Raw genomic sequence first — 25,606 nt, forward strand, 5'->3', positions numbered from 1 at the left:
TAAAGAAAAAGGCTTAATGGACTTACAATTCCACATGGCTGGGGAGGCCTCACAATCACGGTGGAGGGCAAAGGAGGAAAGGCACATCTTAAGTGGCAGCAGGCTTGTGCAGGAGAACTGCCCTAGTGAGTAAATCTCCTGAGACTTACTCACTATCACAAGAATAGCATGGGAAAACCCGCCCCATGATTCAATTACCTCCCACTGGGTCCCTCCCATGACACGTGGGGATTATGGGTGCTACAATTCAAGATGAGATTTGGGTGGCAACACAGCCAAACCATATCACCATCCTATATATTAACCAGGGAAGTGCTGAGTTTCTTCCATCTTAGCACATTTGAAACATTAGCTGTTTTGCAAAGTACATGTCCTTCCTATCCACTCTGTTTACCCCAACTTAAAACCACAATATTTTTCCATATCCTGGAATCTAGAAAAATGTCAGGTGCCAAAATAATGGCACTATAAAATATTGGTATGAAGTGCTATGTCAATGAGCTCAGTTAGAACTATATTACTGTGGGTTAAGACTGTGTGATTCTGTACTAAATACAAGAAGTAACTGGCCTTAGTCAGCAAGATGATGTCACCAATTTCTTATTAGAGCATGCACCCGTAAGTCTATTGAGACTGTGGAAGCAGAAGGAAGACTAGAAGACAAGTCCAATTTATCTTTTATCCATTGCATCTAGAACAGAGTCAATGTTAGTACATATTTAATGTATGTATTCAATGATGTAACAAGTAATCAGGCAAATATCAACATTATAGAGACTTTAATATAGAACTGGATTCCAACAAAACAGTTTTATTAAAATAAGGCACAATGTTTGATATGGCAAAATTCACAGAGGATTGGTTAATATAAGATCTTTTGTACGTCCTGGGGGAGGGGGAAGAAGGTGGTAGAATTGAAGTAGCCCATATATTCTTTTAAGAGCATTTAGCATTACAAGGCAATATATAAATTTGATATTAATATAATAAACAATAACTTATCCTAAATATAAAAATTGTTGAATCATGTTGCTGAATTACACTTATTTCTACCATTAAGTTTTACTTATTTATCTATAGATGTAGATATTCCTAATTTGCAAGATTTCAAATACAGAAAATTAAGAAATCAGATCATAAAAAGTAATTTGACCCAAGTAAAAGTATGTTTTCAGTACCCTTCGTTAATACTTTGACATCCCAAACTTTACAAAAACTTACAATGCTGCTTATCTAAAACTTTTCTCCCATTATGTTTTTGTTTCTCATGAATACAAAGCAGGCTCAGAAATGCAAAAAACCTCAACTGCAGGCACACGTCTTTACATGATTGTTGTAAAGTGACTGTTTAGGTTAATATTCTTTCTCAATATCACAACAATGTTAACAATTTAAGTTAGTGAAAGGATTCTCTTAAACATAAGCGGTAGACATAATTAACCAATTTAGTCATGTTTTTGCAATACTGCAACAGCAATGTCAATCTTATCCCCGTATCTTCCAACAGCTGGAACTTACAATAAAAAAGTCTTATCCAATTTATTCACAGCCAAAGGAACAAGTACATTCTGGTGAATGCAGATGTTCTTTCCACCATAGGTTTGTGGTATGACAGTATATAAATAACCTTCATTAAACTAATACACTTTAATATTTACTGGATTGAATACTATCCTTTACAACAACTATTGAGAAAGACTAATGTTAGGTAAAAGTCTAGTAGCACCCAAATCAATATTGCCCTGTGAGTGTTCAATAATATGTAGAGTTCATTAGTGAACTGTTTTTTAAATATCAATTCTTAGTAAATATAGACCAAGAAGAGATAGAAAAAGAATGGGAGATATTTACATACAAAAGTATTCAAACATGTCTCACTTTCAACCTATATTACAAAGAAAACCAGTGGCAAAATATGCTAAGCCTTACAATATCTTCATAAGATGCTATAAATATGAAGTTGGTTAGAAACTGCTGTCATTCTTTGGTGGCACCAGATAAATTTTTTAAATAATATATAACAGAACATATCTTTTCAGTGATTTTATTTCAGGGGACCCTGATTCTTATGACTTTGACATCCTGGGACAGAATGCATGGTAGAGGTTCCCTCCCCAGAAGTCCTAGACTGATACACATTAGGCCATTTTATGAGAAGGAATCTGTCAGGATCACAGTCTTTCTCCCTCAAATCAAATGAAAAAGGTAACAAGGCTGTCACAAACAACTTATTAAATAATATAGCTCTCCAAACTTTGGGTCTAGAGTAGAGGATTTAAGGCACATACTTCCTGACCACAACTGAAATCATGATACCTTTAAAAAGATACGACTATGAAAATACAAAATTGCACGCAATTTTTTTTTTATTTTTATTTTTGAGATAGAGTCTTGCTCTGTCTCCCAGGCTGGAGTGCAATGGCATGATCTCGGCTCACTGCAACCTCCGCCTCCTGGGTTCAAGCGATTCTCCTGCCTCAGCCTCCTGAGTAGCTGGGACTACAGGCATGCACCACCACGCCTGGCTAATTTTTGTATTTTTAGTAGAGATGTGATTTTGCCATGTTGGCCAGGCTGATCTCGAACCCCTGACCTCAGGTGATCTGCCTGCCTCTGCCTCCCAAAGTGCCAGGATTACTGGCGTGAGCCACCATGCCTGGCCCAAAATTGTACACTATTAAATTCATTAATGTTATACAGGGCATAGCACTTAATATGGAAACTGGGACATTCAATACAGAAGGAATCAGAAATGTATTATAGGTCACATTGAATAAAAATCTATACAATAGCTTTTACTATTGTTAAGTACCTGGCACAACTTAAAAGCTCACTATTTTGGACTAAATGGGGAGTAACATTCATAATGACAATAAAATCTCTACCTCTGGATGAAAAAAGGATCATTTAGGTAAAAATTAAATGTTCCTAACTAAATGCAGCTTAACTAACCTCATATATACATAATATAACCGATAGTTTTGTCTACCAAGGGTCTTATGAAAATTTAGGAATAATAACCATTAACTTTTTTTACATAGCTACTGCTAAAATGCTTTAAAAGACCAAATTTTATTTGCACTATTTGCTGTGTGTTTTTTCTTTTTTACATAGTGAAAAGGTAAACATTAACCAAGGCTACCTGTTATATCACAAATTCCAGGTTAATGATGTATTACTTTCTCCCTTTGGGAAGAGCAAGGTTGGCTGTAAGAAGATCGTATTACTTGCTGGCCCTTAATTACGGAGGGATATGGACAATCTCCCAATAGCAAACACTGAACAAATTTGGTGATAAAGGTTTTTGGATGGTAGTCAGTAGGCCACTCAATAACTTAATTTTAAAACAATTCACTATTACTTTAAAGGGCTTTCTAGGCCTAGGACTGTCCCTAGGTGTTTGGTGACTTCTCTTCTAGCCCTGTGGCTTCTAAAGATTTCTTTTTTTTTTTTTTTTTTTTTTGAGACGGAGTCTCGCTCTGTGGCCCAGGCGGGAGTGCAGTGGCGCAATCTCGGCTCACTGCAAGCTCCGCCTCCCGGGTTCACGCCATTCTCTTGCCTCAGCCTCCCGAGTAGCTGGGACTACAGGCGCCCGCCATCACGCCCGGCTAATTTTTTTTTGTATTTTTAGTAGAGACGGGGTTTCACCGTGTTAGCCAGGATGGTCTCGATCTCCTGACCTCGTGATCCACCCGCCTCGGCCTCCCAAAGTGCTGGGATTACAAGCGTGAGCCACCACGCCCGGCCAAGATTTCTTTAACACTCCAGCAATCAGCCTCTTCCTTCTCTTTTTTCATTTAAATCTGATAGTTACAAAATCTGGTAGAACTGGTGTGCAGTATTACAAAACATTATTGTGGACTGCTTTTTACTTTAATTTACACAAACACAAAAACTGCTCAAATTTGAGGTACAATTTACAATGCAAATTTTTTTGTTTGTTTTTTGTTTGTTTGTTTGAGACACAGTCTCACTCTCACTCAGGCTGGAGTGCAGCGGAGTGATCTCAGATTACTGCAACCTCTGTCTCCCAAGTTCAAGTGATTCTCTTGTCTTAGCCTCCGGAGTTAGCTGGGACTATGGGTGTGCGTCACAACGCCCGGCTAATTTTTGTATTTTTAGTAAAGATGAGGTTTCACCATGTTGGCCAGGCTGGTCTCAAATTCCTGACTGCATATGATCCATCCACTTCGGCCTCCCAAAGTGCTAAGATTATAGGTGTGTGCCACCGTGCCAAGTCTTTACTTTTAAATGTGGTAACTTGAAGCTCTAAATATCAAGAATTTTTGAACAAGAGACACTTCAGCACACATTTAGAAGTAAAATATAACCAGTCGCCTTTGGATTTACCTCCACTACTCAAATACTAGAATACTGAGGACCGTAGCCTGAGGACCATAGCCAGCTGGTCCTTAATGTCAGCCAATCCCTGGCACCCTGGAATCAATGTATCATATTCACTAATCTTCCTATTGCCCAGAATCTTAGCACTATTTCACCAATTCAGTTTGGTGATGCTGAGAGAATTGATTCTAGGGATAAAGACTACTAAGAATGCACAATGTACTAATTCCAATTTCAAATACTAGCACTGAAGAATGCCATTCTAAATATATTAATGTTATGCTTAGGCAGTTTTATCCATAGTTTTGGTCACTAAAATCGTCCAAGTAGAGCAATATCAAAAACTTATTTCATTATAAAAATTAGACTTCGCTAATTCTGTCTTTTAAAAACCCCAATTAAAGTTCATTTACTGTAATTAACAAACAAATATATGACTTAAGAACTAAAGAGACAGACTTATTTTAAATGCATAGTTAGCTACATGACTTGGGAGCTGATTATCTGGTTTCTAGATTATGAAGTCCCTTGTATTTGACTTCTGATTAATTTCTCCAATCAGTTATGAGAAAAGGAAAGGTAGGAAAAAGAAACAGGGAAAATCTTAGAAATTATTAGCTGCTCTTACAAAAGTTTAGGTCAAAGATTTAAGAAAGATAAAACCGACGGCTAAATGTAGACTTCATTAAAAATTACCAAAAGACAGTTGTATGCTGATCATAGAGTTTTCAACTATACATAGAACCATAACATTTTGTTGAAATAATACTGTGGTATACATCTATATTCTTATATGCAAAGGCCAGAAACTGTCTCTGGTTGGACCTATTTACATCTGTAAAAGATGAAGCAGTAGACCTTTCTAGGAAGCTGGAAAGGGTATGTAAGATTATATATTTACATACCTATCCATTTATTTTACGAAGACTAACTCTTAGAAGACTACTCAAGCAGTTACTTAAGTCAAGCTGGTAATTGATTAGGAAGTAGGCATAAGCATTTAGGCCAGAAAAAATTGGTCCTATCAATTTGAGTATTTTACTATGAATACATTATTTTCTATGAAAATATCTTATGTATCTTAGGTAAGTCACTTATTTACAAAACATTTTACATTTGTCACTTAGGCACAGCCTAAGTCATCTTTACCTTTCATAACTGTACAGTCTGCAGCTTGCTGTGGCCCACATGGAGAAGTAAGCAAAGACTTTATACCTCTATTTTATGATATAATCACCTATGTATTACTCTTCTAGGCAGTAGGAACATATTAGATTACCTCTATAGACATAGAAAATTTCTGAGTCAAAAGGAAAACAAAATCTTACTACATTATAACAAGGTAAAGGTGAAGGGATTCATTCTATAGCAGCGTTTCACATCTGCAGTTCATGAAACTCTCATGTTTCATGAATTAATATACAAATAAACACATAAACCCTGAATTATGCTAGTTTCTTCTAAAATAAAAAATATATATGAAAAAAACCCTAATACATGTATATGTTATTATACAACAATCTGCTTTTAAGAAATGGTGTGCCATGAATGCCAGAAATCAGAAAAGGTACACCTGATGTTCTAATGCCTATCTGATCTGTATAACATTTCTTACTGTAGGTTTAACATTAACCAACAAGTCATGTTATTAGTTATTTAATGATTACCAGTAAGCACTTACTTTATATCAACTTATAGTTGTACTATTATTCAATTTGTATTGCATATTAAAGTACTTAATAAAAATTTGGTAATTTCTAATAGCAATTAATTTGTGAAACTATTTTCCTGCTATACATTAAGGATACAATATATTTAATAATTTTTTTCTATTTTATTAATACTTTATTTTCAAAAATGCTTCCATAGTTAAAGTAGTTCTGGAAACTGTTCCATTAGGTATAAGGACAATGACTCCTTTTCTCCATTTTTATTTGGCTTGTTGTGATGTTTTTCTAGTTGTATTAGTTTTTCTTTAAAAAGTAGAGAAAGATGGTCCAGTACATGACATGGGTGAGAGTCATATTTTTTCCCTACCCATTTAATGCAAGATATAAAGAAGCTTTCCTAGCTTCTATCTCTTTTAGAATTTTCTGTTAAAAATTCTTACTCTGTCTTATGATGAACAGATTGATGAAGATTGTGGCCTACCATTAAGTGTAAAAGTAATGTGCTTATAAGGGATGAGTGCACATTTAAACAAAAAAATGTTAAGAGGGCCATGAGATCGGATATTAGATACACAGTTATTTACCTAGTTCTGTTAAAGAATATTTTACAATGTTCTGCATGGTATGTCAGGTTATAGGTTGCTCTGGCATTACTTCTTGAATACATTTTTATATCCTTGCTGGATTAAGGCACTATAACAGTCATTGCTAGATTACATAAGGTTAATAGCAATCATATAGAACAAAGGATAATAATGAAAAAGTTTTAATATCTCATGTAAATGTTATATGCCTTACTTTACCAGTTAGTTTGTCAGAAAGGTTTGTCCCATGTAACCATCTGTGAGCTTCTTTGAATAGTTCTGTAATCTAGACATACAGGCAATTAGAAAAGGGAGGGTTAATCCTGTTTATGGCATATAATATATATGGTATATATAGTATATATGGTATATAGTATATATGGTATACAGTGTTCTACCTAAACCCAAGGGCAACTCTGGCAATTATAGCTTTGATAATTTCTCACTTTCTCCATCTCAATGTCCAAAAGTTATACTACTCATGACTTATTGCAGAACTGCTCTTCAAAAGGTACCATTCTGCTTTGTGATTCATGCAAAACTTGAGTGAAAACTGCAAACCATCAGCCAAATGTGAAACTATCATTCACAAATTATGTTAAAATAATCTAAACATGGGACTGGACTCATTCTTGCTGAATGGGTAGATGAAACACAAAATGTTTTATATCATCCCAGACTCTTTGATGAACACTTAAGATGAAGATAAGATTTCTAGTGAACTTCAAGCTCTATTTTCTTGTCTAACCATTTTGCTCAGTTTTTTAAGTATTTCACAACACTGTGCACTCCTGTTCAACCAAGAAGAACTTTCTGCATTCTGCGTGCAGCAACACTAGCTTCATCTTCTGAGTCAGATTCACTCTGGGAAGTGGAGCTGTGAGAGGCAGAACTGCAAGGGGAAGAACATTCTGGTGAACACAAGTAGTGCATCAGTGGGAGGCGATACTTCCCACAGAAGTCCACAAATTTAATTTGTCTGACACAGCAGTCAAAGTAGACTCCTAAAGAGAAGAAGGAATAGAAAGTAATCATTACAAAGCAAGGAATCAATTTCTTTTTCAGCCCTTTCTCCAGTGTTCTGGAGAAATGTCATACACCATCTTCTGTTATGAATCTTAAGCAGAAGTAGTACTTGCTTGTATAGCTGTCTATAAGCCTACTGGAAGGTCTTAAAGGTAGAATCTGGGTGCAAAGAGGTAACCAGGACATTTATCTTAAAGGGAGCAGGCACAGAAAGGACACTGTGTACCTAGCTTCTTTTCTCTGGGAGACTTGGGGCAATGGCTGATGGAGATTTTAGGACACCTGAGGTGCCCTTTCTCTATTACCCAAGCCACCCCCTTGGTACTACCCTACAGTCACAGACTAAAACAAAACAACATAAAAACTCCTTTAATAATTATCTTAAAGAATTAGTATACGAAAAATTTTCAGAAAGGGGATGACTTTTGGCACTCCTGTTCTTATGTACTGGGAAGGCAAAATTTAAAGAAATAAATGCCATTTTACATTTCCAAAGACTGTAAATCTACAGGCCTCAAATCTGTTTCACTGATGATCTCACTTGATTCTCATACAATTACACATCGTCAGGTAAACTGAAAGTAATATCTGGCCCTTTTGATTCCTAGGTTAGTGCTCCTCGACTGTGGCCCTTCAGTTAAGTAAAAACAGAGCTAGAGCTGAGAGGAAAGCAGATGTTGCTGTGCCTCTGGATTCTAGCTGGTCCTTAAAATGATACTGCAAATCTCTAAGACAAAGACTGTCACAATGGTTGCAGTATAACCAGAACATCTAGAATTTTGGTCCAATCACCTCTCTGGAGAGGAATCTCAAGCTCTATACTCTGCCTAAGTTTCTTCTGGCACCAAATACTGTGTGTTTATCACATAAGGGACCAAAATTAAAAGATGTGGTCCAAGCAAAGGAAAAACAATGAATTCTACTTCTATTTTTTTCCTGATATCTCAACTAACCATGTAGTTTTTTTTTGATCTTGTAGTAAGTATAAAAAAGGCGAAATTTGTGGTACATTACTCTGAATGATTGAGGAAAGTAAATACATTCAATAAGTTGGTCAGTCATAGACCGATAATAAATCCCCTAAAATGTGTTAGCTTCTTGAAAACAGATGAAAGAAATAAAATAAAGCATTATGGGAGTTACTACGAACTAAAGCAGTATAACACTATCTTGTGATTTATAAGATTTCAGATTATACAAAGAAAAGTATCTCTGAGAATATAAAAGTACTTTTGTTTAAGTTACAGTTTAATAACTAACGAATTTGAGGGGGAAAATGTCTAATGGTTCATTTCATAGATTATCTCAAATTTTAAACTGATACTTTTTTTTTTTAAGAGACAGGGTTTCACTGTGTCACCCAGGCTGGAGTGCAGTGACATGATCACAACTCATGGGACCCTTGAACTCCTGGACCCAAGCCATCCTCTTACCTCAGCCTCCTGAGTAGCTGGGACGACAAGCACATGCCACTATGCCCAACTAATGTTTATATTTTTTGTAGAGATGGGGTCTCGCTATGTTGCCTAGGCTGGTCTCAAACTCCTGGGCTTAAGAGATCCTCTTGCCTCGAATGGCGTGAACCCCGGAGGCGGAGCTTGCAGTGAGCCGAGATTGTGCCACTGCACTCCAGCCTGGGCAATACAGCGAGACTCCGTCTCAAAAAAAAAAAAAAAGAAAAAAAAAAAGAGATCCTTCTGCCTCAGCCTCCCAAAGTGATAGAATTACAGACAGGCATGAGCCACCACACTCGGCCTTAAGCTGGTAATTTTTAAAGCATTTTTGTTCCTAAGATAAATGGCACATCAGTATACTAAAGAAGTCATTAAGGAAATATTTAAGAGAGAAAAGAGAATTCCTGTAGAGGTCCATTTCCAGAAAAGCATGAATTCAAAGGAGATTTAGACTTTCAGGCCTGAGGGCCTGGTGTGAATGCTGCCCTATGTGTTTTCCTCTGTCACTGTGAAAGCTAATTTAGGAATGGAGAATCAGAGAAAAGCACAGTGCTGCAATCTCTACTTCTAAGAGTGGGTGGCCAGAAATGATCCAGAGCATTATCTTTTTTAAACTCAAAGTGTCTTTTTTATCTTTTAACAATCTTTGAAGAATTTGATAATTTTCTCCCTTTTAACCTTGTAATAGCTTCAAGACAAGATCGGACTGCCAGAGAAAGTCTCACCTGGTTTTGATCATCATTATGCAGCATTTCCTCAGTACCTACTGGATTTTTTAAAAGTAGTCTTTTATGAGGGAGCCAAAGTGAAAAATGACCTACTATCAGTCACTAATTCTCACCCACACACCCTGGCCCTTCAGGCTCTTCACAACCAGGACTCAATGTAGCTTTTCACTCTCATTACTCCCCTAACCTTACATTTGGAGCAAATTACTACTCATCCAACAGTCTGCCCCATACTCTTCTGTCTCCACTTTGTACTCGCCATCTGAAAAATTTCCTATCCTCAATTTTATCCTATCAAAATCTAATTCATACCTCAAGAATTAGCTCATTGTTTCCAGATCTAATTAAATATACTCTCCCCCTCCTTTGATTTCCAGAAGCATTTTGAATTCCTTGGGATACTTACCTGACTCTGCCTTATATCATTTGCATAATTCTCTTCAAATGCTCTAAACTCAAGACATTTTGAACCATGGACTTAAAAGAATATAAAGTTTTGGGTACATTCTGTAACTGGCACACATTCAGCCCATTCTCATACATCTTGATTAAATCTGATACAGGGAATGGTGAGTCTAAGAAAACATCATTCAAATAAATATAAAAGGTGGGCCGGGCGTGGTGGCTCACGCCTGTAATCCCAGCACTTTGGGAGGCCGAGGTGGGCGGATCACAAGGTCAGGAGATCAAGACCATCCTGGCTAACAAGGTGAAACCCCGTCTCTACTAAAAAAATACAAAAAAAATTAGCCGGGTGTTGTGGTGGGCGCCTGTAGTCCCAGCTACTCGGGAGGCTGAGGCAGGAGAATGGCGTGAACCTGGGAGGCAGAGTTTGCAATGAGCCGAGATCGCGCCACTGCACTCCAGCCTGGGCAACAGAGCAAGACTCTGTCTCAAAAATAAATAAATAAATAAATAAATAAATAATAAAAGGTGTCCAAACATTTTAGAAACAGTTTTTAAACAATTAGAACTGTTTATACTTCCTTGTGTTTCCTCTCATTTTACCATCTTGATTTATTATCGTATGTCAAGACAGGATGAGACTTCCTGGGTATGTTCCTTATGTATGAATCCTAAAATATTATGAAAAAGAATTTTTTAAAAAACCCAGAGTGAAATGTCTTTCTCATAAATGAGTGAAAAAATAAAGGGAACAGAAACAGAGACTGCTTTTGTCTGAAAGAAGACTTAATTAATTTAAAAAATAGCTAAATAAGTGGGAAACATGAATACTGAATTAACTTACCTCCACACTTTGGGTTTGGGCAATTGCTGGCTGAACCCAAGTATCTAAGAAGATTTCCAGGAAGATCATAGGGAGTGTAGGAAATATTTCGAATCTTAATGGTCCGTGCAGCTAATTCCAGGAGAGTTGGAGGATCATAGGTTAAATCTCTAACAAAACGAACAACCAATGGATTTCCTCGTAAACTCAACTCTTCCAAATGAATAAGGTTGAGGATCTCTCGAGGCAGATATGTCAGCAAGTTATTGTGAAGACTTAGGGAACGAAGTGAATGTAACCTAGAATAAATGTAGTAGAAAAATCAATGGCAGTAAACAACGTAACTATCAAAAATATTGAATATATGTGTGTATACAGAACTTGATTTCCCCTTAAGAATGAGCAATTAAGATTAAGGTCAATTGAAGTAAAATAAAAAGGTGCTGAAACTAGATCAAAGTGCAGATTTGTAAATGTCATGAAGGACTTTTGCCCTTGCAATCTTGGCGAATTTAGAATACTTAGAGAATGTTCTGATGTGCTAACTGCTGTAAAACCTAGATTTGAAGATTTGGGGGTGGGCAGTGGGCATGCTTTCTCATTCAGATATCTAAAAAAAGGAAAGATTTCAAATGCAACAGAAATTAAGATCCTTCATATTATAAAGCCTAATTAGGATAGAAATGTTTCATATCAAATATAAAATCACTAAAAGTCTCATAAAACCTAGGGAAATGTATGCTAATACTCAATTCTTTGATTACAGAAAATAGACTGAACAAATATTTTGAAGAATAAACCAGAGCATTTAAAAGTGAAATTAAAAAAACTCAGCTTGCAGCAAACCTCAGAACTATAATTAACATATCACTTACTTTGAGAATATCTAATTCTTTTCTACATATAAAAACATGTGAGTGAATACAAGACAATAATTACTAAGCATAGATGTCTGCGTATATACAAATGCCTGGAACTACTCACTGTGAAAGTTGAGGAGGTATGCTTTGGATTTTGTTGTCACATAATACCAAATAATTCAGAGAAGGCAGATTTCCTAATTCTGGTGGGATTTCTTTAATGAAATTTCCTCCAAGATATAAACACTCTAAACTGCAAAAATAAATGAACAAAACCAAAAAAGTAAATAAAGTTGAAAAAGATACCCCATTGTGTCTACTACAAAAAACACGTTTCATCTATTCATTCAGCAAATGTTTTACTTAAGATTTGCTATGTGCTATCCAGTCTCTAGAGAAACAATGCAATTTTCAGGGAGCTTATACTATAGCTAAGCAGACGAGACAGACCAATGTTAGATAACATTATAATGAAACACAAAACAAGGCCAAAAATAGGCATTACAATACCAAAATAAGAGAGACAAACCATAAATGGTATTAGGAGTTGAATGAAAAGGAAGATAAAAGTTTTAAAAAGGCCACAGTAGTTCTGAATGGAACAGGCTTCCCCAAAGGGCTGTGACTTCAGCTGGGCTATGGACTTAGCCCATTTAGACAAGAAGAAAGAGTACACTTCAGGTTGGAGGAGAGGGCTTGTGAAGGCACAATGAATATACCTGTTAATAGAAGAAAATTCATCTTGAGGAATCAAAGATTAAGGTTGTAGAGAGACCAGATTACAAGAACCCTGAATTCTATGCTAGTATGCTTGGATTTGATTGATGCACTGACAGGCAATGGGAAAACCACTAGCTTGTTTTTGAATAGACTGTAAAACTATGAAGTCTCTACATTTCTTCTTCGCTCTTATTATAGCAAATACATTCTTCAGAGGCTGTGTAAATTGTCCACTACTATAAAATCAAAGTTCCAGGTAATTATACTGTTTTCCAACAATAGGTTAACATTTTAGACATGGCATATATTGCACTAAAATAAAAAAAAAGAGAGTACTCTTTGATGATTACTGTTGAAAGGCTTCCTTCAAAAGATTTTTGCAGGGGGTAGCAGGATCAGTTCTTACTATATATATTTATTTATTTATATATAAAAAATATATATTTATATATATTATACTATAAATAAATAAATAAAATGTATACAAACACATACAGATTTTTTCTCCCAATACTGTATTACTTTTATCTTCCTGTTAAATCTGCTAACTCAGTAGAACTACTGTTTTTTCAAAACACCTTTAAATGTGGGAGAAAACAGCCTACTAAAGGGTTACCCAAACTTCCATGGTAAGAATTCCCTATGATATTTTTAAAGCTATGAAGTCCTGACCCCATCCAGATGCACTAAATACTGTCTCCCTCCCTTGAATTGCCTGTGAACTGGCAGATTTTAGAATATAAGGTGTAATTTTAACAGATAAAGCCAAGTTACCTTGTGCAGCCATGGCTATTTACAAATCCATAATTAGCATATAAGAGCACTCCTTAACCTACAACTTTGCCAACACCTAGTATTATCACCAGCATTTATTTATTTATTTACTATTTGATGGTATAAAAAATGGTACCATTCTGTGTTTTTAATCTGCAGATCTGTAGGTCCCTAACTATTAGTGAAGTTTAGCATCTTTTTATGGTTTTAGACATTTGTATATCTTTAGAGAATTACCTGTTCGTATCATTTATCTATTTTTCTCATGAATTATGCAGCTTTATCTCATTAATTTGTTGGGAGTTCTGCTGTTGTTAAATATATATATATATTCTGCATAACTTTGTTCCTTTGTGGCCTCAAGCATGGTCTATTTTCATTCATGTATTATATGTACAAAAAGAACATGTAGCTATTATGATTGAGCTCGTTAACTGAGCAAATTTTTTTTCTCTTATTATTTTGCCTTCTTGCTCTGGTGGTTAGTCTCCTACTATAAACATGATTTTCCTTCTTCCCTTCAGAGTCCTGTCAATCTTTACTTTTTTTCTCATTAATATACAGAAGTTATACTACAGATACATTCAAGCTCATGACTGCTAAAAACTTCCTGAAATGAGCCTTAATTCATATGAATCATTTCTATTTGTTCTTTTTTTTTTGAGACAGACTCTTACTCTGTCGCCCAGGCTGGAGTGCACTGGCATGATCTCGGCTCACTGCAACCTCTGCCTCACGAGTTAGGTCAAGCAATTCTTCTGCCTCAGCCTCCCGAGGAGCTAGGATTACAGGTCCCTGCCACCATGCCTGAGTAATTTTTGTATTTTTAGTAGAGATGGGGTTTCACCATGTTAGCCAAGCTGGTCTCGAATTCCTGACCTCAGGTGATCCGCCCACCTCAGCCTCCCAAAGTGCTGGGATTACGGGCGTGAGCCACGGTGCCTGGCCTCTATTTTTTATTTTAAATACCTTTTGCCCTGAAATCTATGTCCTCTGATTATCAACACTGCTTACCAGTTTTATTTTTGTTGGTATTTATTTCATTCAATCCCAGCTCTACAACTTACCAGTATAAAAATTTGGATCAGTTACTTAATCTTGCAGTTTCTTCCTTTTAAAAATGGAATAATATTATCTATCATATAAAATGCCCAGTTAACAAATATGAACTAACACCTACAATGTGCCAGGCACCATTCTAGGGAATAGAATGTAAATAAGTTCAAGTTCTTGACCTGAATAAGTTTACATTTTAGTGAGAAGACAGACAATAAATCAATAACATGTCCATTATGCCAGATAGTTTTAAATGTCACAAAGAAAAAGGGGGAGCAATCAGATAGTGATGGAAGTTACACTCTAGAGAGGGTGGACAGAAAAAGTTTCTCTTAGGAGATGACATCTGAACAGAGATCTAAATGACTGAGTACAAACCCCAATGGAAAAGTGATTGGTGTGTTGTGAAACAGCAACACAGCCAGTTTGACTAGATGAGTAGATCAGAATGACTGAGGTGGGACTGTGGTCATCAAAGAGATCAGAGAGGTAGCCTGGAAAGGCCACATCACAGAATGTCCTTTGGGCCTCTGTAAGAGCGTTTTGAAAAAACAGTTCTGAACAAAGGTTAGTCATTTAACTTGACTTACTCTTTAGAAGGATCACTTTGGCTATTGAGTGGCAAACAACTGGAGAAGTGGTTAGGGGAGCACTGTGGGCAGGAATAGAAGGAGGAAAAGCAGACTGGAGCCTAATCCAGTACTTCAGATGAGAAATGACAGATTTGCCTGGTACATCATTTCCTATCCCTTTACTTATAACTTATTGGTGTATTTTTATTTTAAGTGTAAATTTTTATAAATGAAGCATAATTTGAAGATTGATATGTTCGGACTTGTGTTTTCTATTATCATGGTGTCTCTCCACATACCTTTTCCCTTTAGTTCTGCTTCTTATTGTGCTCCTCAAGTTTATTTTTGTTCTTTTCCCTCTACTTCTACTGTTTTGAACTGTATATGCTATTTCTATTTTGCCAGGAGTTACCCCCTTCAATTTTCGTTGTACTCTCTCAGTCTCAAACACATACCCATGCTCTCTTCTGTCCTTCTCTTCATATCATCTTCTAGAATTAGTTCTACCCCGATTTTCTACCAATTTATTTTATTTCCAATCAGTACATTGATTCAGATTTATCAATATGTTTTACCAATTTTATCATTTTTTTTGGAGGCTTGTTATTTAAGGTTCATTTTTCTTGGAGTACATCCTTCAGAAGTTCTTTCAGCAAGAACTCATGGTTGTTAATCTTTGAGTCCTTTGTTTCTGGTGTTTTAACTTTTTCCCCTCACTCTTGAGTAATAGTTTAGCTGGGCATAAAATTTCAGATTGGCAGTTACTTTTCCTTGGCACTACGAAGATGCTGCTCCGTTATCTTATTACAGCCAATATTACTATTGTTCCTTTGTAGGTAATCTTTTTTTTCTTTCCTCAATAGGAGTAAAGATTTTTTCTTATTCATCTTTAATGTTCTAAAGTTTTACTACGACATGTTAAGATATCAGTTTAGAGAGCTCCCTTTCTTTAACTGTGGGAAATTTCAGCCACCATTACTTCACACATTGTTTTTCTTTCATTGTCTTTCTAGAATTGCTCTTAACAGTTTTTTAATTTTTTTTTAATTTTTATTTTTTGAGATGGAGTCTTGCTCTGTTACCTAGGCTGGAGTGCAGTGGCACGATCTCGGCTCACTGCAATCTCTGCCTCTCTGGTTCAAGCAATTCTACCTCAGCCTCCCGAGTAGTTGGGATTACAGGCGCCCGCCACCACGCCTGGCTAATTTTTGTATTTTTAGTAAAGACGAGGTTTTACCATGTTGGCCAGGCTGGTCTCAAACTCCTGACCTCATGATACGCCCACTTTGGCCTCCCAAAGTGCTGGGATTACAGGCATGAGCCACCATGCCCAGCTGCTATTAGCAGTTTTAACTTCAGGATCTATCCTCTATGTCTTAATATTTCTTTCATACTTTTTATTTCTTTATCTCTTTGAGCTGAATTCCAGGAAAATAACTCAGTAAAATCTTTCAGCTTATGGATTCATTCTTCAGCTGACTTCTGTCCACCTTTTAGTCTAGTTAGTTAGTTCATAATTACATCTTTTCATTTCTAGAAACTCCAATTGGGGTTTTCATAATTGTCAGTTTTAAAACTCCCTATTCTTGCTTCACTGATGAAGTTCCTTCCTTTATCTCTCTGAAATTAAAAATTCTTTGCCGATTGCCTTATTACAGATATTTTCTCAAGTATAATTTTTCTGTCTTTCATAATCTCAGCCTTCCTTGATGTGTGGTTATTCAAAATGCCAACTTGAATCTAACATTTTGTCTTTTTAAAAAATACATTAGGTCAGGTGCAGGGGCTCACACCTAATCCCAGCACTTTGGGAGGCTGAGGCAGGTGGATGACTTGAGGTCACGAGTTCGAGACCAGCTTGGCTAACTGGTAAAATACCGTCTCTACTAAAAAAACAAAAACAAACAAACAAACAAAAACAAAAATTAGCCAGGCGAGGTGGCAGGCACCTGTAATCCCAGCTACTCAGGAGGCTAAGGCAGGAGAATTGCTTGAACCTGGGAGGCAGAGGTTGCAGTGAGCAGAGGTGGCACCACTGCACTCCAGCCTGGGTGACAAAGTGAGACTGTCTCTCAAACAAACAAATATATGTATATATTAATGACACTTTTAAAAAAACGTATCTCTGATCGTGTAAAGCTTTTCAAAATTCCATTTCTCTCTTTAGACTTAAAATGTTTAGAAAAAGTAAGCAGATAACTTTAATTTTCTGTTATTTTCTTTCTCTTTCAAAGATTATCTTGCAGCAAAAGTCAACTGGTTATAAGATTGAATTCTCCTACTGCAAGTGCTTAAGCATTGGTGAAAACAGTTCCTAGGCAGGGTTTTTAAAATTCTACCAAGTATGGCATAAGTTACTGCCCAGTTACTCAGAAATCCTTATTTTTCAATGATGACAGCTACTTGAATAGAATAGAACAGAACAGAACAGAATACAATATTTGGAGTCCAAATAACAGAAACTACTAGGTTCCTGGAAAAGGGACTATTTCAATGAGAATACTATCAGGGAAAAAAACTGAGCAAACCTCAAAGTCCTTTTTACAAAGGATTTGATAGCTAAATAATAACTTGCAATATAGTCTAGAGAGGGAGAAAAAAAATAAAGTAAAAAAAGGAAGAGTGAGTCTGAGGGCAAGTGTAAATATTATCCTTTCTATTTGCTTAGGTCAGTGTTATGGATTGAATGCCTGTGCCCTCCCAAAATTCATGTTGAAACCCTAACTCCTTAACGTTAGGGTATTAAGAAGTGGGGTATTTGGGTGGTAATTAGGATTAGATAAGGTCAAGAGGGTGGAGCCCTCGTTAATGGGATTAGTGTTCTTCTAGGATTCCCAAGGCAACTTGCTTCCTCTCTCCATCATGTTGATGTAACAGGGAGGCACAGCTGGGGCTGCACATTCCATGGAGCTGGGGGGAGCCCTGCCCTTCTGTGTTGGGAACAGAGCTCCCCAGGTGCAGCTGTGGTGGCCCAACCTGCAGCTGCAGACCCAGGCCTCCTGCTCTACAGAGCAGGGAGAAGCCCCACCCTCCTGGGTGGGGCTACAGCCACCTAAACTGCAACTGTGGATCTGAGCCTCCCTGTGCTCTAGGGGGAGGGCTGGGAGCAGGCAGGACCTGCCTTCCCGCGAGCAGCTGCAGCCGTCCTCCCAGGTGCAGGAGCTGGGTATCTCTGCAGCCTGCACCCTTGGGGGCCCCAGGAAGGATCCCCCCAACAATCCCTGCAGGCTCGAGGGTGTCTTCTCCCGCTGCCTGGCCTCTCTCCAGCCCCCGCTCCCATCTTGGAGCAGGAGCTGGGGCTGAGCCTGGGGCATCACAAATGGCATCAGGAGGCAGACTGATTCCTGGGCAGAAGAGGGTGGGTCCCCAGTAAGGCCCCACCTTTGGACCAGGGTGGGCCTGAAGGCTGGGGGCCAAGCTGCCAGTCGGGCAGATGGGAGTGGGGACTCCTGGTGCCTCTCCCCGCCTGCCCATGGTCACCCATGGACCAATCAGCATGCACTTCCTCCCCTCTGAGGTCCATAAAAGCCCTGGGCTCAGCCAGAACAGGGCAGAGGAGGAAGAAGACAGAGAGAAGATGGGATGGGGTGACCAGCTGCAGAGAGGAGTATCCTCTAAGCTGAGAGCTACAGAGATGACCTGCCGGGAGAGAGGAACCACCCTCTCAGCTGAGAGCTTCAGAGACCTCCAAGAGCTTCAGAGACCTGCAGAGATATCCGAATGACTTGCTTGAGGAGAGGGGCCACCCTCTCCAGGGCCTCCTGTCTGCTGAGAGCTGAACACTTGAAGGGACCACCTGCCTACAGAGAGGAGCTACTCACTCATCTCAGCTGTTCTAACAGTAAATAAAACTCTTCTTCACCCTTCACTTGTCTGTGTACCTCATTCTTCCTGGATGCAGGACAAGAACTTGGGCAAAAGTGCCATGGCCACAGAGGTTTCCAGTCAGAAAAATCAACATCCCAGAGATCCCGTAACAATGTGAGGCCACAGTGAGAAGACTGCAGTCTATGAACCAGGAAGAAAGCCCTCACCAGACATCAAATTCCAGGACCCTGATCTTGGAATTCCCAGCCTCCAGAACTGTGACACATAAATTTGTGTTGTTTATAAGTCACTCAGTTTACGTCTTGTTATAGTAGCCTGAACTTATTAAGACAGTCAGGAACCAAGAAAAACTAGTCTCTGGTGATCATTTGCTACTTGATGTCTTCTTTCAATGCTTTGGAAGTGGACAGGGAAGGTAGACGGAAAGGATGCAAAACATTAGTAGTTACCTTGACTGTGGCAGAAAAGGATCTGACGTTCTAAAATATAACTAAGGCCATGATTTTGCAATTATGTAAATTCTCTTTTGCAATTGATGAATAACACTAATCAAATTACATAACCATCATATTAAATTTACAGTTTCAGGCTTATTTTTTACTTTCTAACTCAAATAATTTCCAAATTTCTAGGGACTTGACATCTTTCGATGATTTGTGGGAATTAAATTTCTATAACACACTCTACTGTTTCTGAATACACTTTTTTTTAAGAAGAAAGGAAACTGTTGTTGAATTTGTAGCAAAACTGTAGGGTTTAAGTTCTTGTGGTTATCAACATTGCAACTCTGTTAATTAGGGTTGGAACAATTCTATTCTTTCAGTATTTGAGGAATACAGAAAACAAGAAAAGTACTCACTAAATTTATGGAACAAATTATTCCTTTCCTGTTTAGCATTAATATATTGACCTTAAAATTGTCTCTTGAAAAATGAATCACGTTTCCAATCCTTAGGGATACTGCAGTGGATGCCTTTTCTCTTATCAAGTACAAATGACCCACTGAAAAAACAGGCTAGCACAAGTAAAAGTAGAAAATGCTTTCTGCTTCTCCAATCAAATAAAACTGACACCGAACATCATAAAAATATACGTTAAGCTGGGCACAGTGGTTCACGTCTCTAATCCCAGCACTTTCGGAAGCTGAGGCAGGCGGATCACTTGAGGTCAGGAGTTCGAGACCAGCCTGGCCAACATGGTGAAACCCCGTCTCTACTGAAAATAAAATTTAAAAAAAAATTAGCCTGGTGTGGTGGCAGGTGCCTGTAATCCCAGCTACTTGGGAGGCTGAGGCAGGAGAATCACCTGAACCTGGGAGGCAGAGGCTGCAGTGAGGTGAGATCGTGCCGCTGCACTCCAGCTTGGTGGACAGGGCGAGACTCTGACTCCAAAAAACAAATAAACAAACAAACAAAAACAAAAAAAAACCCCCAAACAACAACAACAACAAAAATACATTAATCCTATCTTATATGGTTGGTTAAAAGGAGATGGAATTAAAGTAAGATAGGAATGTACAAAGAAGTAGAAAACAGAAAGGAAAAGAAACAGAAAGATAAGAACATCTGTGGATAAAGAAAGTTTTCTTGAAGTAGCATCTTTGTATTAAATGACAAATACTAACATACACCACAGGATTATAAGGTACCTATATGTTCAAAAGTAGACATACAAATAGATGCATCATCTCTTGACACTTGCCCCAAATTAAGGCAATAAAAAAAGTCAGAGGGACGATGTTGAGAGCCAGTGACAAGCTCAGTATGTGACTCTAAATGTGGAAAAGCATTTTCATTTAAACTTTACTGCATTCTATCATCTGGTTGAGTCATCTGTCTCCTTTCTAACATATCAACCTACTGTACACTAACTTCAAAACATTTGAGAGCATTAACTTTTAGCTTTTGTTTTGTCACACCCTCCTATCTCAATCTTTCAAAACCACATCAAACAGATGGTGAGAGGCATCATGAACAGAAAAAGGAAGGCATTACTTAAGAAGAAAAGATTGTAGAAGAGTACCAATGAAACTCAGTTGTGCTCAAACCTACTCTCCAAATATCTAGCATACTGGATTTGCCAAACAATCCAGAAGCTTTTGTTTACTTAAATAAAGTCTATTGGCCATTGAGTGATAAGCTATTAAGCTCTTCCTCAATTAATATCTAACCTAACTGAGAAGAATAAAAGGTATGATTCAGAAAAATAAGTCAGAATATGAATTATACCTACTTTTTCAGCATTATGTAACAAAAAAAATTTTGCCCATATACTATAGCCAAACAATTACACTTATTTGCTGAAGAATAACCACATTTTGATGGAAAGTAACTACATCCACAACCGCATGGTTCACATTGATAACCTAATTTACTCGAGGGGAAGGAAGTTAATCATAAAAATAAGTAAGATTTTCAGCATCTACTTATTTGTTATACTTTGAAAGTGATGCTTCAGAAAACGTTAAAAAAAAAAAGATTTTGCCACTAGGGGAAAGAATTAATAGGGTATAGAAAACATAGATATCTTGCTAAATCTGGAGAGGTCAATGACACCAATTAAGCCATAAGTATTCATTTGTTATTCCTTCCTTAAATGATGAAGAGTGGAAGGAGTGGGGGAGTTTTCATGGATTATATAGTCTGTACTATTTTAATAATTGCTCTTACAGAGGACACATATCTTCTTAATGTGCCAAAACACTAGATCTGGTTTAAAAAGCAGCATGGCATACATAGTATCAATATAAATCAGGGTAACCAATGAAGTCTAGAGGATCCAGGTATTTTCTAAGAGAAGATGGTGTTCTTGGACAGGTAGTTTAAGAGACTAAACCTCCACCTCTACATTTTTGAAGCTTTAATGCATCATATTAGTAGTGAATAGTTAGCAGTGTTTGAAGGCTGAACCACATAACTCTCACTTGTCACTATCTCGCCTCAAGTAAATCACTGATAATAAATCTAAGTTTCCTCATCTGTAAATAGAAGGGGATGAATCGGGTCACTGCCAAGGCTTTTTCTAGCTCAGAGTATATTTCTACACAACCCTTTTAACCTACAATCAGAGTTTATATGTGGAGCATAGCCTAAACCTTTACCGATTCTTAGCAGTAACGAGAAATAAGGCACGCAAGTGAAAAATGAAAACAGTGACGTTAAAGATATCATACATTATTGGTGTCAAAGACACAATGAACAATAAACACAGATAGCACGGTTGTTAGCCCAGAAAACTGAGTCAGAAGATCAGTCAACTATGTGAATGACTTTGACAAATCCTCCTGATCACAAATCCAACAGTACAGAAGTCAAGTTCTAGGCTGGGTGCAGTGCCTCACGCCTGTAATCCCAACACTTTGGGAGGCAGAGGTGGGTGGATCACTTGAGGTCAGAAGTTTGAGACCAGCCTGGCCTGGCCAACATGGTGAAACTTTGTCTCTACTAAAAGTACAAAAATTAGCTGGCGTGATGGCACGCTCCTGTGGTCGCAGATACTTGGGAGGCTGAGGCAAGAGCATCACTTGAACCCAGGAGGCGGAGATTGCAGTGAGCCCAGATCATGCCACTGCACTCCAGCCTGGGCAACAGAGTGAAACTCCATCTCAAAAAAACAGAAAACAAAAAACAAAAAACAAAAACAAGCAAAAAACCATGACCCTCCAACCCCCCAACAAAGATTCAGGTTCTAGTACTCTGCCACTGTGCAGAACTCAAGGGTTTGGAGTCACAGACCACAGAGGTCAAATACAGTTCCAATGCTTACTAGCCTTGTAATCTTATGACTTAATTTCTCTGAGCTTCAGTTTCTGCCTCTGAAAAATGGGAGCACATCATCTTATGGCATCATTGTGAGTATTAAAAAGCATAGTTAGCACCTATGACAGGATCTACTGCATTGTAAGTATTAAATAAATGGGATTTTTGCCTACTTTTCTCCCCATGTGATGGAAATAATACTTTCCCTGGGTTCCTGTTAGTATATTAAGAAAATTCCAAGGCTGGAATTATGCAACATTAAAATTAGAAGGAACCAAGGGCTGTCAATTTTACCTCTAAATCTTTTCTCGAAATCTTCCATTTCTTAGCATTTCTCCTAGTATCAAGCTGGTATAGGCTACCATCATCTCTCATCCTATTACAATGACCTCCTTCAAACCAGCCCTCAAAATCTCTATCTCTTCACCCTCTCCTCACTCCATTCTTGCATAGCAACAAGACACATGCTTAAAACTCTCTCATGTGCACTTAGAATAAAATCCAAACTTTATCATAGCCTTCAAGACCTGACACGGGCTGACTTGCCCAAATTTATATTTGCCACTTTCCCTCTTGCTCACTTCCCAGTACAATGTCCTTCTTTCAGAATTTTAGTAGTTACCCTCCTTGCCTCTGGGCTTTCCCATGTGCCTCTGTCATTTTGTCTCAAGGCATTCTGTAGGTCTTCATAGAACTCATAACCACTGTAATTAAATAATGAGGTTCATAGTTAGTTGTTTAATGTCTGTCTCCTGGATCATGTTCACCATTGTATCCCCAATACTTGGGACAGTGCCTGACACAGGGCAGGTATTCAATAAATATCTATTGAAGAGTAAATGAAGAGACATCTTGCCCAAATGCTTCATTTGTAGATTAGAAAGCTACAGTTAGGATACGCTACAGTTAGGATACAAGTGACTTGCCTAAGGCTGGAGCACCAAGAGTTCTTTTTTCCCAGGCCAATATTCTTTTTTTTTTTTTTTTTTTTTTTGAGACAGAGTCTCGCTCTGTCGCCCAGGCCGGACTGCGGACTGCAGTGGCGCAATCTCGGCTCACTGCAAGCTCCGCTTCCCGGGTTCACGCCATTCTCCTGCCTCAGCCTCCCGAGTAGCTGGGACTACAGGCGCCCGCCACCGCGCCCGGCTAATTTTTTGTATTTTTAGTAGAGACGGGGTTTCACCTTGTTAGCCAGGATGGTCTCGATCTCCTGACCTCATGATCCACCTGCCTTGGCCTCCCAAAGTGCTGGGATTACAGGCGTGAGCCACCGCGCCCGGCCTTCCCAGGCCAATATTCTTTTGCTCCACTTAACTCTGAGGTCCCTTCTACCTTTAACGTTCTGTTATCTCTGAAAATACAATAAAGTGTGAAAATATCTTACAGATGGAAGATACCTCTTTTTCGTTTTGTACAATACATTTGGCTCTATTTCCCACTCCCCCACCGGGCACTTTTATTATCCTGTTTCTCTGCTTCCTCCTAAAGTTAAATTTAACATATTTACTGCATAATCTAGTAGGTGAAGCAGATAATTCCTGTAAACAAGGAATCATATCCAATAAGGTAAATGCAAAGGCAAGATGAATGAAGCACAGAGAAAGTACAGCATAGGCTGTACTTTTTTGTGCAGGGAGTAGTAACGAAAAAAATTGTTGTGCAGGGAGTAGTAAAAAAGGAATCACAGAGATGATTAACTTGAGATAGCTTTTGAAGGATGATAGGCGTTTGCCAGGTGAAGGAAACATTCCAAGCAAGGGAAACAGCACGTGTACAGAGGCACTGCATCCATTCAACACATACTGAGTGCCTACCAGCAACTCCAAGCTGCTTTCTCTACGTGGGAAAATGCATAGGTCACTGAACTCCACAAATGGTAGTTGGTACTGCCACAGAGAAGAGGAAGCTGCAAATGTAGTGGAAAGCAAGGGTTAGATCAGAGCACCTTGTACGCCACGCTCAAAGGCACGTACTTTGATCTATAGAGATGGAAATCCACGGAAGACTTTTGAGCAAAGAAGTGACAACCTCTGATTTACATCTGTTTTGAGTTTCCACTCAGTTTGGATCACGCCCCAGATTCAATAAGGAAGACAGAAAAAATGCCTCGAGAATCTGCATAGGCCAAACACAACACACCAAACAGTCACACATGCGAACATACTAGGTATTTACAACAACTTGCTGAGATGGTTGGGCAGAACTCACTACCGCACAGTTAAAGAGAAAGCTTGGAAATAGTTACGTGACAAACGTTGAGGTGCCCAGGCCCGGCGCCCCAGGGTTCCCGGACACCGCCCGAGGCCTCCCCACCCTCCGGCACACACCCGCTCACCTCTGCAAGTTCTCGATCTCAGCCGGGATGCTCTGCAGTTGGTTGCCGCCCAGGCTCAGGGTCTGCAGCGCGCGCAGCTCTAAGAGCGAGGCAGGCACCTCCTGGAAACAGTTGCCGCTGAGGTTGAGCACCTGGAGGCTGCGGCAGAGCGGCGACTGGGCCAGGCCCTTGGGCAGCGCACTGGGCCCGCCGAGCCGGTTGTTCTTGGCCAGCAGCGTGCGCAGGCCGCGCAGAGCGAGCAGCTCCGGCCCGAGCGCGGTCAACGCGTTGCCGCTCACGTCCAGCAGCTGGAGGTGCGGGAAGCCGCTGCCCAGCGCCCGTGGCAGCGACACCAGACGGTTGTGAGGCAGCAGCAGCCGCAGCAGCGCCTCCCGCGCCCCGCGCCGCTCCTCCCCCCGCGCCTCCAGCTCAGACTCCAGCGTCTCGGTGGACACGCTGAGGCGGGACCAGTTCAGTTCGGCCTCCCCGGCCGTGACCACCGCTGCTCCGGCCTCCTCCATCCTGGCCACCGCACGGCGCGTGGCGCCGGATTCCCCAGAGCGCCGCGCGCGGTCCAGAGGCCGGGAGCTCTGCGGCGCCCCGGAACCTGAACCGAGGGCTGAGTCGGAAGTGGCGCGGGCGGGCGCAAACCCTGCGCGCCTTGGCCGAGTCACGCGACGCGAGTCCTGG

The 25,606-nt window shown here is 39.1% G+C and overlaps 1 protein-coding gene across 2 annotated transcripts, besides 2 other annotated features; it reads right to left on the reverse strand.

The window, feature by feature from the left end:
• Nucleotides 1-702: 702 nt before the first annotated feature.
• LRRC58 (leucine rich repeat containing 58) lies at nt 703-25,548 on the reverse strand. Of its 2 annotated transcripts, NM_001099678.2 has the most exons (4): nt 24,938-25,548; nt 12,019-12,147; nt 11,056-11,333; nt 703-7,602 (listed from the first exon to the last, which is right to left on the reverse strand). In NM_001099678.2, exons 1-4 carry the CDS (start codon nt 25,435-25,437, stop codon nt 7,394-7,396), a joined length of 1,116 nt encoding a protein of 371 aa, NP_001093148.1. In that variant the 5' UTR covers nt 25,438-25,548; the 3' UTR covers nt 703-7,393. The 2 variants fall into 2 exon arrangements, with proteins under 2 accessions (NP_001093148.1, XP_047303357.1); XM_047447401.1 differs by lacking the exons at nt 703-7,602; nt 11,056-11,333 and adding an exon at nt 24,417-24,508 and having other exon boundaries at nt 12,064-12,147.
• Nucleotides 24,814-24,863: an enhancer, noted in NCBI's record as "active region_20331". NCBI's record gives its function as "activates an Ori minimal core promoter by ATAC-STARR-seq in GM12878 lymphoblastoid cells {active_cell/tissue: GM12878}" and the evidence as "EXISTENCE:reporter gene assay evidence [ECO:0000049][PMID:35858748]".
• Nucleotides 25,214-25,543: a silencer, noted in NCBI's record as "silent region_14635". NCBI's record gives its function as "represses an Ori minimal core promoter by ATAC-STARR-seq in GM12878 lymphoblastoid cells {active_cell/tissue: GM12878}" and the evidence as "EXISTENCE:reporter gene assay evidence [ECO:0000049][PMID:35858748]".

The sequence above is a fragment of the Homo sapiens genome, chromosome 3 (genome assembly GCF_000001405.40).
Source record: "Homo sapiens chromosome 3, GRCh38.p14 Primary Assembly".
Taxonomy (NCBI): domain Eukaryota; kingdom Metazoa; phylum Chordata; class Mammalia; order Primates; family Hominidae; genus Homo; species Homo sapiens.

Bases quoted from the DNA above. Each gene is read 5' to 3' on its own strand.
- LRRC58 (NM_001099678.2), bottom strand. From the start codon at position 25,437: ATGGAGGAGGCCGGAGCAGCGGTGGTCACGGCCGGGGAGGCCGAACTG. The intron at 11,334-12,018 runs GTGAGTAGTTCC...CATTTATTCTAG, and splicing joins ATACCTCCTCAACTTTCACA to GTTACATTCACTTCGTTCCC. The intron at 7,603-11,055 runs GTAAGTTAATTC...TCTTCTCTTTAG, and splicing joins CCCAAACCCAAAGTGTGGAG to GAGTCTACTTTGACTGCTGT.